General features: G+C 39.0%; 1 protein-coding gene across 1 annotated transcript in view; it reads left to right on the top strand.

Annotated features, from left to right (window-relative positions):
- The window catches only part of KDM5A (lysine demethylase 5A), a 109,264-nt gene that overhangs the window by 48,468 nt on the left and 42,835 nt on the right, over positions 1–17,961 (top strand). Inside the window, exons 11-16 of the mRNA NM_001042603.3 lie at positions 6,431–6,612; positions 7,204–7,366; positions 8,915–9,034; positions 11,824–12,018; positions 17,072–17,253; positions 17,647–17,771. Coding sequence (NP_001036068.1) covers positions 6,431–6,612; positions 7,204–7,366; positions 8,915–9,034; positions 11,824–12,018; positions 17,072–17,253; positions 17,647–17,771 — 967 coding nt within the window. The remainder of the gene's footprint in view (positions 1–6,430; positions 6,613–7,203; positions 7,367–8,914; positions 9,035–11,823; positions 12,019–17,071; positions 17,254–17,646; positions 17,772–17,961) is intronic.

Below are 17,961 nucleotides of genomic sequence, written 5' to 3'. Positions count from 1 at the left end.
GTCTATGCATGTTTTGTTCCTGGCTCTTTGATGTTTTCTGTTGTTGAGTAACATATTACTTTTAACCTTAGTGGCTGAATAACAAATATTCATTATCTCATAGTTTCTGTGGGTCAAGCATTTGTGCTAATGGTTTTTTTTTTTTTTTTTTTTTTTTTGTGATGGAGTCTCGCACTGTTGCCTGGGCTAGAGTGCAGTGGCACGATCTCAGCTCACTGCAACCTCTGCCTCCCGGGTTCAAGTGATTCTTTTGCATCAGCCTCCCTAGTAGCTGGGATTACAGGCACCCACCACCATGCCCAGCTAATTTTTTGTATTTTTAGTAGAGACAGGGTTTCACCATGTTGGCCAGGCTGGTCTCGAACTACTGACCTCATGATTTGCCCGCCTTGGCCTCCCAAAGTGCTGGGATTACAGGCGTGAGCCACTGTGCCCGACTGATAATGATAGTTTTTTAATGATACTTCTAGCTTGGAGTCTCACATGAGGTTGCCATGGGATACAGTCTCTTCAAGGCTTGGCTGGGGCTAATGGATTTGCTTTCAAAATGGCTCACTCACAGGTTGTTGCCAGGAGGCCTCAGATTCTAACTATGTAGGCCTCTACATAGGGCTTTTGAGAGCCAGATGGAGTCGCAATGTCTTTTATAACCCAACTTCAAAAGTCAGACTTTTTGGCCAGGTGCAGTGGCTCACACCCATAATCCTAGCACTTTGGGAGGCTGAGGCAGGTGGATCTTTTGAGTCTAGGAGGTCCAGAATATCCTGGGAGCAACATGGTGAAACCCTGTCTCTACAATAAATACAAAAATTAGCTGGGTGTGGTGGCACACGCCTGTAGTTGGAGCTGCTTGTGAGGCTGAGGTGGGAGGATCACTTGAGCCTGGGGAGGTTGAAGCTGCAGTGACCTGTGATCATGCCACTGCACTCCAGCCTGGGTGGCAGAGTGAGATCCTGTCTCAAAAAAAAAAAAAAAAATCAGACTTCTTAATATCTGCAATATCTTATTGGTTACATAGGTCAGTCCCCTTTGGTGTAGGTGGAGGTTATACAAGGTTCTGAATTTCAGGAGATGAGAATCATTGGTGTTGGAGGGTGTATTGGCTGGCGGCCTGTATTATTTTTTATGTAACATAGGTGTTTGCACAGCTGGCCTAGTATAACTTTTATTTGTCTTCCAACTGTGACTCTTTGAGTTAAGTAATTGTTTTTGGATTAACTTGTTGGAATTATTTTGCTAAATGTCCTAAGTTTAAAACTTTTCTCTTTTTAGTTTTAAATAGATCGAAACATTGATTCCCAGGCATTAAAGACATCAACCAAAGTATTAAGAGACAGGCAGTGAAGCCTTTTTTGTTGACTGGGTTGCAGATTTGCTGTTTATTCTCTAAGCAAAAATGTTTTACTCAGGACTCTGTTTTTGTTATAAGATGATAGGAGAGAACCCATTTATGACAAAAGGATTTTAGGGACTAATTAGACAAAGTGTATGAAATTTTCAAACTTTTTATACTTTATATAAATTTATTACTCTCTGAAAGTTACTCTGGTAAAATAGCAGATAACTACCAGCTTTTCACTGGGAATTATACATTTGTGTTGAGCTTCTGTGATATGAGTTACCCTTTTGGTATCTGGTAACACACCTCTCTGGTATCTTTTTTTTTTTTTTTTTGAGATGGGGTTTCGCTCTTGTTGCCCAGGCTGGAGTGCAATGGTGTGATCTCGGCTCACCACAACCTCTGCCTCCCGGGTTCAGGCGTTTCTCCTGCCTCAGCCTCCCGAGTAGCTGGGATTACAGGCACGCACCACCACGCCCGGCTACTTATGTATTTTAGTAGAGATGGGGTTTCTCCATGTTGGTCAGGCTGGTCTCGAACTCCCAACCTCAGGTGATCTGCCCTCCTTGGCCTCCCAAAGTGTTAGGATTATAGGTGTGAGCCACTGCGCCTGCCGGAAGTTGTGTCTTATGAATATAGTGTGCTCTACCAACAGGGCTTCTGAGAAGTAAAAGTAAGTATAGGACTTGAAATGTTGGAAAGATTTTTTTCTGCTTGTCCTCCTTGTTCCGTATTGTCATTGACTAAATTTTGTTAATTCATTTTTAAAGCTTTCTATAGGATAGGACTCTTTGCATTCCCACTACAGCCATTCTTGCTTAGGTCCTTATCACATGTTGAGATGATACTGTGGTTGTATATCGATGTTGTATGACTACAGTATCATCTTGTATTGGCTGTCTCCAAGACCATTCCCAGGTTCAGTGATATTCAGGGAGGACTCATGCTTATGATTTATTACAGTGAAATAATTCAAACAAAATCAGCAAAGGGAAACAGTGCATGGGCAAAGTCTAGAGTAAACCAGGCACAGGCTTCCCAGGGTATTCTCTCAGTGGGTTACATAGGGTGTGCTTAATCACACCAGTAACAAATTATGGCAACACGTGTAAAGTGTTTAGTGCTTTACATGTGTGTTCATTAGATACTCAGTGCCGAAGGCTGTTATTGGGGCCTAGTGACATGGGCACCCTTTGTGAATCACATACCAAAATTCCAAACTCCTAGAAGGAAAGCAGGAGTTCGGCATAAACCACATTGTACAAATAGTCTGGGGCATTGTGAGCCACTCTTATCATTTAGGGGAAGTTTTATATTAGTGTAGGGAATTGTTACCATTCAAGTGTCTAGATGCCAGCCATGGGCCAAACTTTTAGTAGGCCTTTCAAAGGACACCAGTCTCAGGCCTGCTGTGTTTAACTCCTTTGTGCATACTGCTGCTCTCTGCAGTCTCTCTAATATATTGCTTTCACTTAACATTTAAAGATTGATGGGTCAGTGGGAATTTATTATGCAATTTTGTCTACTTTTGTTTACATTTGAAATTTTACATAATTAAAAGTTTAGAAATAGGCTGGGCACGGTGGCTCATGCTTGTAATCTCAGCACTTTGGGAGGTCAGGGCGGGCAGATCACTTGAGGTCAGCAGTTTGAGACCAGCCTGGCCAACATGGTGAAACCCCATCTCTACTGAGAACACAAAAATTAGCCGGGCATGGTGGCAGGTGCCTGTAATCCCAGCTACTCGGGAGGCTGAGGCAGGAGAATCGCTTGAACCCAGGAGGTGGAGGTTGCAGTGAGCTGAGATTGTGCCACTACATTCCAGCCTTGGCAACAGTGAGACTCTGTCTCAAAAAAAAAAAAAAAAGTTTAGAAATATTTGATTCTATGTTTATCATATTGTTTCGTTTTTCAAAACTTATGTTTCCCTTTTGAATATAGGATAAATCTCAGATTCTCAGTCCAAAACTTAAGATTAAAGATCTCATCTTTTTTTCTAATGTTATTTCCTGTGTTTTTGCGTATGACTCTTCCATTCTGCCTTTTCACCAGCTAGACTAGTATATTCTCTCTGTAATTTACCTTTTACATTCTTGTAGCTCTTCCTCCTAGAATGTTTATTCAAATCTTATCTATCCTTCAAAGCTCAACACAATTTCTTCCTTGCTGTGAAGTTTTCCTAACAATCTTTATTAGTCCATTCTTGTACTGCTATAAATAAATACTCGAGGCTGGGTAATTTATAAAGAAGAGAGGCTGTACAGGTTCCACAGGCTGAACAGGTAGCATGGCTGAGGAGGCTTCGGGAAACTTTCAATTATGGCAGAAGGTGAAGGCTAAGCAGGCACGTCTTACATGGCCAGAGCAGGAGGAAGAGAGAGAAGCGGGAGTTGCCCCACACTTTTAAACAACCAGATCTCGTGAGAACTCACTATTGTGAGAACAGCAAGGGGGAAATCTGCCCACATGATCCGGTCACCTTCCACCAGGTCCCTCCTCCAACATTGGGGATTCCAATTCAACATGAGATTTGGGTAGAGACACAAATCCAAACCATATCACAATCCAAACCCATGATGATCACTGTTTTATTGTCCTCTGAAGAACTGTATTTTCTCTTCTATATGTATTTGGAATTTTATATATGTTACCTTGTATTGTAACTTTTTTTTTTTTTTTGAGATGGAGTCTCGCTCTGTTGCCCAGGCTGGAGTGCAGTGATGCAATCTTGACTCACTGCAACCTCCACCTCCTGGGTTCAAGCACTGCCTCAGCCTCCTGAGTATCTGGGGCCACAGGCATGCACCACCACGCTTGGCTGATTTTTGTATTTTTACTAGTGATGGGATTTCACGGTGTTGGCCAGTCTGGTTTCGAACTCCTGACCTCAAGTAATCCACCAGCTTCGGCCTCCCAGTGTTCTTTTTGTTTGTAGACCTTGTCTCTTCAATGAAATTCACTATTTTTCAGCCAGCCAGCTGACCAACCAATCACAAAACATATTGAGTAATAACCTGTTGAGATTCTTTTATTTCCTTTTTTGTTAGCCTGTTGAACTTTAGGAATAGATCTGTCATTTCTTATTGGAATTCTTAGTTAAACCTGTGTTGGACTTTGTTATTCCATCCTCTGTGACTTTTTTTTTTTTTTTTTTTAGTGAGACAGGGTCTCACTCTGTCTTTCAGGCTGGAGTGCAGTGGCATGATCTCGGCTCACAGCTTCAATCTCCCGGGCTCACGGGATCCTCCCACCTCAGCATCCCTAGTAGCTGGAACTACAGGCGCACGCCACCACGCCTGACTAATTTTTGTATTTTTTGTAGAGATGGGGTCCCGCCATGTTGACCAGGCTGGTCTCAAATTCCTGGGCTGAAGTCATCTGCCTGCCATGACCTCCCAAAGTGCTGAGATTACAGGCATGAGCCACCATGCCCAGCTTCTCTCTATTTTTTTTTTTTTTTTTTTTTTTTTGAGATGAAGTATCGCTCTTGTTGCCCAGACTGGAGTGCAATGCCGCGATCTCGGCTCACTGCAATCTCTGCCTCCCGGGTTCAAGTGATTCTCCTGCCTCAGCCTCCCCAGTAGCTGGGATTACAGGTGCCCGCCACCATGCCCAGCTAATTTTTTGTATTTTTAGTAGAGACAGGGTTTCACTATGTTGGCCAGGCTGGTCTCAAACTCCTGACCTCAGGTCATCTACCCACCTCACCCTCCCAAAGTGCTGGGATTACAGATGTGAGCCACCGTGCCCAGCCCGCCTCTCTGTGACTCTTAATTACAGTTTGATAGTTTATATATTTCTGTGCTGCCTTATAGATAATCTCCTCAAACATGTCTTCTAGTTCACAAATTCTCTTTAGCTTTGTCATTGGCTCTTTAACTTCTTACCTTGAGGGTTTTTTATTTTTAACTTGTATTATAGAAACTTCTAAACAGTAAGCACAATAATGACCCTACCCCCACCCCTGCCAGTTCCTGACATCCACATTCAGTTATCAACTTTTTAATAGCAGATTCTCATATCTGCTTCTGCATTCAATCTGTTATGATAGCACATACCATCTTTCCCCTGGAAAACTCACACTGTACTCCTGCAAAAATGTAAGTGAAAAAGACAAATAATGTCTTAGAATTATTGTGAAAATAGTTTGACTTAGTGGATCCTCTGGATCCCATTTTGAGAACTGTTCTCCATAAGGATGATAAGCACTTTAAGTCATAGCCTCATATGGCTGCAGAGATGGATGTTTGAAAGTCCTTCTCCGGTGCCAATATCCAAGTAGAAGCCCCTGTGAAAACTCTTGCAACAGCTTCCTTTTTCATTATGGCTTGCTTCCACTCTGTTTCCAGAAACTGGGAATTCCCTTTTCTTTTGGGTTCACCTATGAAGTTTTTTTGGTTATTGTTATAATTTATCCAGTATTTCTAGGTGTGTTTGTATAATGGTTAGGAGTGATGGTGGTGACTTTCTGCATCCTGTCAGTCTTATTGTTATAATTTATCCGGTATTTCTAGGTGTGTTTGTATAATGGTTAGGAGTGATGGTGGTGACTTTCTGCATCCTGTCAGTCTTATTGTTATAATTTATCCGGTATTTCTAGGTGTGTTTGTATAATGGTTAGGAGTGATGGCGGTGACTTTCTGCATCATGTCAGTCTTCATTGTTGTCACAAGTTCAAGATTATGTATATTGTATTTTGTCTTTACAGTATCTAGCACCATTCTATCAATATAGTAGTAAACATTTTAGGAAATTATGCTACTGGCTATAAAATAGAAATAGTGATGTTGTATTAAGATGGGTCTCATACTGTTTTCCTGATTGGCTGGAGAATAACAAGAATTGCTCATGTGCTTTGGAGTAAACCAGAGGTATCTGAAATAAAGGGAAATCTAAATAGAACATAGACAGAAGGTAGGATTAAATGTTTAGTTATATGAGTTACATGTAGTGGATAGCAAAGAGCACAGATTGTATGCACTAGACTATTATAAATATTATAAAAAAATTTTCTGGGAAGACTCCCTTGGCATTTCTATTGAGCACTTTTCATTTCTGATCTTTCATTTACAGTTTTTTCTTCTCTTATAGGAATATGCACTTTCTGGTTGGAATTTGAATAACATGCCTGTCCTGGAACAGTCTGTTCTTGCACATATTAATGTGGACATCTCTGGTATGAAAGTGCCGTGGCTCTATGTGGGAATGTGCTTCTCTTCTTTTTGCTGGCACATTGAGGATCACTGGAGTTATTCCATCAACTACTTGCACTGGTATGTACAGTCTAAAATACAGCATGCATGAACTCTACTAAAGTCTAGTGGATTAATGATGCTAGGTTTTTGATCTTTAAGGTTTATAGACAGAAGTATATTTAAGGTTTCAATAATTTCTAGCCTTGGCCTATTTCTTTGGGTAGTAAAATTGAACTCAGTGAAGCTATTTAGAAGTATCCTAGAGAGCACTGACTTATTTTGATCATTGTGGGGATAATTGAAATGTCCATTATTCACATGGACCTCTGAATCAAGGTCATGTGTCAGCATCCTTTGGGACAGTGCTTACTTTTCATATAGTGTCTTTCCCGTTTGAAGGTGTTTTCACTGATCCGCCTTACAGAGTTCATGTGCTGAGTTGCTTTTTTAATTGTGGTGATAAGTTTGTATCTGCCTATACATACTACTATTTACTTACCTCCTATTGTGAACAACAGCACAGGTTTATAAGATGGTTGCCAGAATTCAGGGCATATAATCTGACCATGGAATAAGACAAGTTAATTATAATTTGGTGGATTGGAATCAGATACCCTAGCCTCATTGGTACCATGTTCTGCCTAGCTAAACAGTTACTTCTTTTGCTAGGGGGGAGCCAAAGACATGGTATGGTGTGCCATCTCATGCTGCAGAGCAACTGGAGGAGGTGATGAGAGAGCTGGCCCCCGAGTTATTTGAATCCCAGCCTGATCTTCTGCATCAGTTAGTTACCATCATGAACCCCAACGTGCTAATGGAGCATGGTGTGCCTGTGAGTCTTTTGGTGTCTTCCTTCAGTTGTTTGTTTGTTTGTTTGTTTTTTCTTTTTTCTTTTTTTTTGAAACAGGGTCTTGCTCTGTTGCCCAGGCTGGAGTGCAGCGGCACGATGATTGCTCATTGCAGCCTCAGCCTGCTCAGCTCAAGCAGTTCTCCTGCCTCAGCCTAATGAGTAGCTGGGACTATAGGAGCACACCACCACCCCCGGCTAATTGTTGTATTTTTTGTAGAGACGAAGCCTTATTGTGTTGCCCAGGTTGGTCTCGAACTCCTGAGCTCAAGCAGTCTTCCCAACTCGGCCTCCCAAAGTGTTGGGATTACAGGTGTGAGCCACTGCACCCAGCCAGTATTTTTAATTTAAAGTTATTTTAGCTTTTGATTAGATAGAATCACAACATATGCTTTGTTTTGTAACTAGAAATGAGTCATATCATCTTTTAGCCAAATTAGAATTCGTACTCTGCAGGGAACAACTTTTATCTGATTAAGAAGGGGAGTGTTAAAGTATGAATCATTCTTTATGTACAGCTACCTATTCATATAACCTTCTATTTTCAGTAAATATTACATCCTACTTTGAACAAAAATCTCATATTCTTTGTTATCTCTATTTAACCAAAGCACAGGTATTTTAAGTGGTGGCTCTAATCACTAATAAGGATGCTTATCCTAATAACTAATCACTAATAAGGATGCTTATCCTAATAACTAATAACCAATAAGGATGCTTATCCTAATAACTAACAACTAATAAGGATGCTTATCCTAATAACTAATCACTAATAAGTTTGCTTATCCTTATTTTCTCATGTAAAGATTTCTTAGCTTTTAATACATGAGATAATGAAATAAAAATATACTGCAAATACCTTTTTCACTTTTCAACCTAAGTTTGAAGATGTTTCTCAAATTCAAGCTAATGCCTGATAAAGTATAAATTTAACAAGTTTACTATAGATAATCAAATATTCATCATAACCTTAAAGAGAAAGTAGTTTAACATTTATAATGTTACTTTGTTTTTAAATAATAAATTTATACCAGAATCTGAGACTTTTCAAGAGACATACAGTATTATTGTAAAACAAAGTGAGATTTCAGGAAAACTGATTTTGGGGACATCTCATTGGGGATGTCTCATATGCCATGTGAGTTAATTTAGTTAGTTCCAAAAAATTATCCAAAAGTAGTAGGAAATTCTATTCTTTGCCACTATTTACGATACAAGAATAAAACAAATTCTCTAAATTGTAAAAATTGTATCAGTTTAAGAAACTCGTAGCTCGTTGAGAGTAATGTTTTTTTCTTTGAGAATTTCTTTTGGCTGCTAATTCTTGTCATGAATTATAATCTATTATCAGTGACTATTTTAAGAAGGTAGAATTCTGGCTATTTCTGATATCATTTTCTGATATGTGTAACTTAATGCTTTATTGTTTTCAGTTTTAGAAAATGCATCTGAAATTATCTAATAAAATCTGTCTTCCTCTGTTTGTTATTTTTATTTTTTATTTTTGTATCCCTGTTCCCAATTTGCATTTAGGTGTACAGGACCAATCAGTGTGCTGGCGAGTTTGTTGTGACATTTCCTCGTGCCTATCACTCTGGATTTAACCAGGGCTACAACTTTGCTGAAGCTGTGAACTTCTGTACTGCTGACTGGGTCTGTTCTATAGCAAGTGGCTGTTGTACGTCTACTAACCCCCCTATAAATATAAAGCAGCTTAGTTGCCATATTTGCTTAGCTGGGCTCAGGGTCGGGTTCATCAGTATTTTAGTGGAGACTGGAGTGGCTATTGTAGTTTAGAAAGCTAAGTAGATTTCCATCACATTTTTTATTTTGAAGATTTTATAGTTCTTCTTACCCATTTATTATTTTCCTCATTCTGTTTGAACTTGCTTCCTTCACTTCCATTCTATTCCTTCACTTTCCCCTTCCCCCATTTCCTTCTTTTCTTCCTTTCCTTCTCTCCTTTGCTTTCCTTCTTTCCTTTATTTTGACTCCCTCCCTTCTGGTCAGATGCTCAGAAGAGAGAGACTGTTTGAACTTATAAATGGTCAGTCGATTCTTTCTGAATCCTTCTTTTCTAAGGGAAGACACAGGTTGGTGCAAAAGTAATAGTGGCTTTTGCCATTGAAGATAAAGGTTGGTGCAAAAGTAATTGCAGTTTTAAACCCACAGCTAATTTTGCACCAACCTGTAGTTTTTTTAGCCTTTGCTTTCTCTGAGCATTTTGGGACTTATTAAGGTGATCAGGCTTATACAGATAATTTCAAGTATTCTACCATATTTTCAAATACGTAGCTCTGTGATTTTTACAAATTCCTTAATTTTTTTTTTCTGATAGACAACTAGGTGATTTTACTAGTCTTGTCATTTTATGTTTTTTCTGTTCCTTTTTTTAATTTTAAAAGAGTATAATATTGAGATCTCTGCGCTATACTTTTATGTAAATGATAATGCTAGGTAATTGCTATTTTGCTTTTGTATGAAGTAGATAATCAAAAAGTATTTAGTGGCTGTTATGTTGCTTGGGAGAAGACTATACAGTATATTTATGATACACACTGACTTTATTTTCTTGTATTGGTGCTGTTTTTGTTGCTTCTGTTAACATTTTGGGGGAAATCCTTTAATGTTTTCTGCTGGCACCTTAATTTATTAAATTCCATGATTAACCATATAGAGATTGTTTTTGTTTCCTTTGCTAATGAGTAAAATGATACAATGAATAGTCTTACTTGCTCCAGTAATTTTGAACTTTTTTCTTATTAGGCTTTGGAAACAGCATAATTTAGCAAGAACAAGACTAGGCTTAGGATTTTGCCTTGGGCTTGAGCTCTGTTTCTAAACATTCAATCAGCATTTATTGAGTGTTTATGATACATGGTAATTGGCTAGGTGTAGGGTAGAAAATGGGAGGATTTAGATAGGAGCTGGAGATAGTTTCTGCTGTTCCCATTCTCTCTGTTATTGGTATTTGACCTTGGGCAGCTTTTAAAATTTCATTGGGCCTAAGTTTTTTAGCTGGTATGTAAAGATGCTGATAGATTCACTTAATAACCTCAGACAAGTTAGAGGATATGTGTGGAAGCCCTTGACACTCTTTAGAAGAAGGGTGTGATATAAATTAAAAGTTATAGCAGTTTTATCTGTGGAATAAATTAATGGGACTAATGTTTATAAGTTACAATGGATAATCACTTCTATTTTATGTGGCTTCCTCACATATTATAATAGTTAAGAACTGCAAATCCCACAGTATGATTTTTTTCTTTTGCTTGTTTTTGTGTTGAGGCTCTGAGAAATTTTTAAAGAGTACGTATTTAAGATATGAAAGAGTTGTGTGTTGTTAATAGACAAAATAATTGCTAATCATAAGATATATATATATACACACACACACACACACACACACACACACACTTTTTCCTTTGGAAAGTTTTTTCTTTGAAGAGTATGGAAACACTGCATAATTCAGAGATAGCCTCAAATTTTCTTTGCTTTCTCTGATTCCTTTCTGCCTTTCTCAAACTGTAGATGAATTCTAAAAGGCTCTTAAAGGTCCATTTTCTTATTTTTTCTCTTTTATATTACAAATCCAAACAAAACTCCTTTATCCAAGTTCTTCTGCCTGAGCATAGGAAAGAAGTTGAAGTTGGAGTGCGTATATACGTGTAGGGCATAGCTATTGTTGTAATTTGGTTTGTAGCTTGATAATTATGGAAATTTTCAAAATTTATTTTAAAGACTGTAACTGTTCATTTATGAAAAGTGATCAGTTATTTATTTCACTGTTAGGGAAATAAAGTATATAATTTTATAATTTCACTTTGAATTATCTTTCTGCCAGACTTGTTTTTAAAATAATTTCTAGATGCTAAAATCTAAATTGTCCTTTGTTTTGGTTTTTGCAAAAAAAACTAAATGTCAGCCAATGTGGATTGCTTAAGTATTACTTTTTCCCCTTTCCTATTTTTTTCTTTTTTTTTTCTTCTAATAACATCTGTTCTTTTTGTTCTATGGAAATTTGAGTGCTGAATACTTCCACTTAACCCTTTTTGGCCTGAACTTATTTAATTATTTATTTTTACAATATTTTTCTTTTTCTTGTAAGGGCAGGCTCATGTTAAACTGGTCTAAAAGAGTTTGCTGCCTCAGTTATATACCAAAGAACTCCTTCTTGATATACAATAAATAGAAAATTAGCAGTTTAGGCCAGAAATTTAGCATCTCAGATTATGGGAATTTTCTGTGGGAAAGCCTTTGAAACTCTGGCTGGGTCTTACAGGGTTAATATTTACAGTTAATAGAATATTGCCTCTTTATATTTAAATGGATTTGGTATTCTGTCTTCTTTCTAATAAAAGGGAGGACCTGGAGGGTAAGTAGTGGTTCTGTGCTGGGATATGTTATAAGCGAGTTATTTAATTTGGAAATCTCATTTTCAGTTGCCCATTGGACGTCAATGTGTAAATCATTACCGACGCCTAAGGCGCCACTGTGTCTTTTCACACGAGGAACTAATTTTCAAGATGGCAGCAGATCCAGAATGCTTAGATGTGGGGCTGGCTGCCATGGTCTGCAAAGAATTGACTCTCATGACTGAAGAAGAAACACGATTAAGAGAGTCTGTTGTACAGATGGTGAGTTTGCTGAGCACATTTTCTATGTTTGATACTGCTTATGGGATATGCTAAATAAACCTATAGGTAGAATTTTCATCCCTTATCCCCTAGGAGTTGAGCATAAAGATCACTGATTTGGAGAAGATTTTATATTTTTATAATTGACATATTGATTTCTCCAGATTAAAAACGTTTTAGGAATCTTGTCATCTCTAGGTTTTTAAAACAAGTCCTATCAGAATTTCTTAGGTATATATTTACATTTTAAATCTTCTACATACAGTATTGTTTAAACAAGAAAATTTAAATCATTTTTTTTTTCTGAGCTTTCTGTTGAATAAGTTATGTTTCTGGAAATTACAGACTGTCAGTTTGAATTAATCTTTTTCCCTCCCCTTTAAGTAATTTGATGAATAGGAAGGATGGACTAACCCCAAGGCTGGGATTTAGAATACTTAGAATAAGCTAAGCATCATCACATTGAACTGGGTAATATATGAGAAAATGTGTATCTTCAGCATCATCTTGGCCTGTTCTAATATTTCCTACATAGCTAGCTAGCTTCATTAGGTTTACACCGTGCTTCCTCCTGTTTTTGTATCATGTCCCTCCTCCCTCTCTGCCTGATATTCTGCTCTGTTTTTAAAACAGCTTTGTTGAAGCATAATTGATGTGTAATAAACTACATGTGTTTAATGTGTACAATTTGATAAGTTTTGACTCTGTATATACCCATGAAACCATTGCTGCAGTCAAGATAATGAATATATCTATCACCCCTAAAAGTTTTTTCATGCCCTTATATGGTCCTTCCTTCTTGCTCTGTACCACCTTTTTGAAAGATGGGTTCTCTCTCTGTCGCCCAGGCTGGAGTGCAGTGGCACAGTCGTAGCTCACTGCAGCCTCAAACTTCTGGGCTCAAACAATCTTCCCACCTCAGCCTCTGGAGTAGTTAGGACTGCAGGTGTGTGTTACCATGTCTGTCTAAATTTTTAAATTTTTCGTAGTGGTGGAGCCTTGCTTTGTTACCTAGGCTGGTCTCAAACTCCTGGCTTCAAGCAGTCCTCCTGCCTTGGCCTCCCAAAGTGTTGGGATTACAGGCATGAGCCACCACACCTGGCCTGTGTTCTCTTTTTGTTGTTTTTGAGACAGAGTCTCACTGTGTTGCTCAGGCTGGAGTGCAGTGGCACGATCTTGGCTCACTGCAACCTCCGCCTCCCAGGTTCAGCGATTCTCCTGCCTTAGCCTACCAAGTAGCTGGGATTACAGGCATGCGCCACCTTGACCAGCCAGTTTTGTATTTTTAGTAGAGATGGGGTTTTACTATGTTGGCTAGGCTGGTCTCAAGCTCCTGACCTCAAGTGATCCACCCACCTTGGCCTCCTAAAGTGTTGGGATTACAGGTGTGAACCACTGTGCCCGGCCTATACTTGTATTCTTAAAATTCTTATTTTGATTATATATTTATTTAAAATGGGATTCTTTTTCTCATTGCCTAGAGTCTTTCTTTTGAATTTTGAAATTTTAAGTACATTGGTGGAGACTCATGAAATACGATTTTGTGCTATGTCCTCAGTATTTCAGATTTAACCTGAATGGGACATTATTTCCCTTGTGCTTTGATAATTTGAATGTCCCATCTCCTGATCCTCTACCATGTTTCTTTGTGCTACTTTGATCAAATTTCTCTATAGACCCTTCTTTAAACATACCTTCCACCTATGCCCTTGTTCCAGTTACTTATCCCTGCCCTTTCTTTGCATTATGAACTTGTCTTTCCTATTTTAAGAAAAGTTTTCATTTTACCTTTACTAAGAATCTTCAGTGGTTTTCCCGTGGTCAGCAGTCTCATGTCCTCTTTATCCCTTCATTATCATTGTCATTCTGTTCCCATCATACTTTTGAAAGTCTCAAAGTTCACCAGTGACACACTGTATTTCAAAATCCAATGGTTTCTTTTCTTTTTTTTTTTTTTTTTTTTTTTTTTTGAGACAGAGTCTAGCTCTGTCACCCAGGCTGGAGTGCAGTGGCGCGATCTTGGCTCACTGCAAGCTCCGCCCTGCGGGTCCACGCCATTCTCCTACCTACCTCAGCCTCCCGAGTAGCTGGGACTACAGGCGCCTGCCACCACGCCCGGCTAATTTTTTGTATTTTTAGTAGAGATGGGGTTTTGCCTTGTTAGCCAGGATGGTCTCGATCTCCTGACCTCGTGATCCGTCCACCTCGGCCTCCCAAAGTGCTGGGATTACAGGCGTGAGCCGCCGTGCCCGGCCAAAATCCAGTGGTTTCTTTCTGTGTCTTCTATCCCCATGACCTCTTTATTGCACTATATATTGCTGCTGTTGTTTCTTTACCTAACATTTGCTCTACTGTTTTTTTAGTCTCTTTGATTGTATTTGGCCATCATTTCTAGTTCTTTCTCCTTATATCCCCAACAATGGGTGCAGGGTTCAGCCTTTGACTGTTTATTGTTGTTATTTTGTGCTGTTTATCTTGGAATTCTCATCTAAGGGTCTTAAGTCTTTCAGCTATTACCTTGTGGTTTCAGTTCTCACTTCTTATAGTTTCCTCCTATTACATTACACACAGGAATTACTATCACTGTGAAAGAGGCTGTGTCCAGCCACTCATTTGTAATCTGTGTTTCCAACATGTGTATTGCACATTTCTATTTAGATTTTTATCATCTCAGTTTCAGCATCTGAAATAGAAAATCTCCTTCCTCTCCACCCTTCACAAACCACTTTTCTTTCCTAATTGCCTCATCTTAGTAAGCGCCAGGACCATCGTGTAAAAACTTAGCGTGATCTTGACTCATACGTTTCCTTTTTATTTTTTTGAGATGGAATCTCACTCTGCCACCCAGGTTGGAGTGCAGTTGCACGATCTCAGCTTACTGCAACCTCTGCCCCCTGGGTTCAAGTGAATCTCCTGCCTTAGCCTCCCGGGTAGCTGGGATTACAGGCGTTCACCACCTTGCCCAGCTAATTTTTGTGTTTTTAGTGGAGACAGGGTTTCACCATGTTAGCCGGGCTAATCTCGAACTCCTGACCTCAGGTTATCTGCCCTCCTCGGCCTCCCAAAGTGCTGGGATTACAGGCGTGAGCCACCACACCTGGCCTCGTTTCCTTCATAGTTATATGTTACCTAGTTTTTTGTTTTGTTTTATTTATTTATTTGAGACAGGGTCTCACTCTGTTGCCCGAGTTGGAGTGCAGTGGCACGATCTTGGCTCACCTGCAGTCTCCACCTCTCAGGTTCAAGCAATTCTGCGTCAGCCTCCTGAGTAGTTAGGGTTACAAGCATGTGCCACCACACCCAGTAATTTTTGTATTTTTAGTAATGACAAAGTTTCACCATCAAGCTGGTCTTGAACTCCTGACCTCAGGTGATCTACCCACCTCGGCCTCCCAAAGTGGTGGGATTACAGGTGTGAGCCACGGCACCTGGAACAAAAAAAATATATTTTTTCCAGAGTGTCTTTTAGGATCCGATCCTTGGAGTACACTTTGGGAAATGGTATAAAATTTCTTGAAGCAGCCAGAAGTGTCTCAGTTGCCACATGAGCATTCCCTTGAGAACAGCTTTGCCAGTTGTTCTGAAGCTGAGTAAATTCTTATAAACTAAGAAATACGTGCAATGCATTTTGAAACTGTTTTTACGTTAAAATAATTTTTAAAGAAAATACTAAATGCCAGTATAAGAAAATGGAAAGATAAGAGAATATGGCCAGCAGACATCTAGATTAAACTGATATCAAAAACAGTGTATGATGAAAGACCAGAATTGTGCCTGCCAGTGAATAAATTATCAGGTTCCCACCTTGTTTACATGAAGAGAGTTTGCTCTTATTGCAGAATTGGGTTTACAAGTAACTTGCTCAATCAAGTAAGCAGAAACTGTAAAGTTATATAATAAATGGAGGTGTTTGGTAAAATGCACTTCATATGCTCTTACATTCTTTTTTTTTTTTTCTTTTTGAGATGGAGTCTCGCTCTGTCACCCAGGCTGGAGTGCAGTGGCGTGATCTCAGCTCATTGCAACCTTCACCCCCCGGGCTCAAGTGATTCTCCTGTCTCAGCCTCCTGAGTAGCTGGGACTACAGGCATGCATCACCACGCCCGGCTAACTTTTGTATTTTTAGTAGAGATGAAGTTTTGCCATATTGGCCAGGCTGGTCTTGAACTCCTGATCTCAGGTGATCTGCCTACCTCGGCCTCCCAAAGTGCTGGGATTATAGGTGTGACCCACTGCACCCTGCCTGCTCTTACGTTCTTGGCATACTGAATTTGTCTTAACTTTCTTTTTGATGTCATGCTGATATTATATTTTAATTTGCACAATTTACTTTATACTTCTTTGTCCTTACATATGTTTGTATATGTCAGTGTTACTTTTGGATAATAGATTACTGATTTATTTTGCTCAAGGATGTAATTGGGAGGAACTTTTGGTGTATAGCCGGCCACCCCCAAAATGCCTCCCAATTACAATTTTCTTCCCTTCTCTCAAAAAACTGTCTTGACTTTTGTGGTAATCGCATTCTTTTTTTTTAGAGACAGGGTCTTGCTATGTCGGCTGGGGTTGGAGTGCAGCAGTACTATCATAGCTTACTACAGCCTGGCCTCAAATGATCTTCCCTCCTTAGCCTCCTGAGTAGCTGGGACTACAGGCATGCACCACCATGCCTGGGTAATGTTTAAAAATTTTTTTGTAGGGATGCTCACTTTGTTGCCCCGGCTGGTCTCAAATCCCTGGCTTCAAACAATCCTTCCGCCTCAGCTTCCTAAAGTGCTGGGATGATAGCCATGAGCCACTGCACCCAGCCCATGTTTCTTTATAGTTTTGTCACTCAAATGTGCATCCTTAGATACCAAACTTTAATCTTGCCCATTGAAAAAAATTTAGCAATGATTACTTTTAGGAAGTATTTTGATGTTGTGCCATTGTACCTTTCATGTTTATACCTTTAAGTCAGAGATTTGTCTATAGAAAAAAATGTAGTAACTTAAGTTTTTTGATGCTTTAAAGACTAGAAAGACTTGATCTAGTGAAATAAATTATATTTCAGGGTGTCCTGATGTCAGAAGAAGAAGTGTTTGAACTTGTTCCTGATGATGAGCGGCAGTGTTCAGCATGCAGAACCACATGTTTTCTCTCTGCTCTCACATGTTCCTGTAATCCTGAGCGGCTTGTATGTCTCTACCATCCAACTGATCTGTGCCCCTGCCCCATGCAGAAGAAATGTCTTAGGTATCCAAAAGTATTTTGTAAAACTTCCATTACCTTTTTTTAAAACCAAGTTTTAATGTTATTTTTACTTATTCCCTTACTTTACTCCTTTACTCTGGACTTCTAAACTTCACTGTCTACTTCTAGGCTTGAAGACCAGTCCCTTAAAGTTGGCCCTAAACCTGGCAGCTGAAATTAGTTTATCAGTTGATTTCACATGTTCCTTGTCTCCCTGAATTAAGAAGTGTGGGCTGGTTTGATTTTCTCTTTATGTGAACTAAGATCCCATTCCCTTGGCCATTGTATTTTCCTTAAGCTGGTTATATTTAAAACTTTATTTTTAAGTTATTGTTGGTTTTTGAGGTTTTTATTTCTGTTTTCTTTTTTTTTTTTTTTTTTTTTTTTTTTTTGTAGATATCGCTACCCATTAGAAGACCTCCCTTCTCTGCTATATGGTGTAAAAGTCAGGGCACAGTCCTATGACACTTGGGTCAGTCGTGTTACAGAAGCATTGTCTGCTAACTTCAACCACAAAAAAGGTTAAATTTCCTTCTTTTGTATGCATATACTGAATTGATTGTCACTTTAAAAGAGGCTTTGTTTTAGTTTTATGTTTTTTCCTTCCGTAAAAGAAAAATCCTAGGCTTCCTATGAGATTTGAGATTAATGGGTTGATTGAATATAGACTTAATTTTCTATTTGAGAATCTTGTTTGAAATGAAAAAGCTG

The sequence above is a fragment of the Homo sapiens genome, chromosome 12, assembly GCF_000001405.40.
Source record: "Homo sapiens chromosome 12, GRCh38.p14 Primary Assembly".
Lineage (NCBI taxonomy): Eukaryota > Metazoa > Chordata > Mammalia > Primates > Hominidae > Homo > Homo sapiens.
Note: the sequence above shows the minus strand (reverse complement) of the source record. Positions and strands in the feature narration are given on the sequence as shown.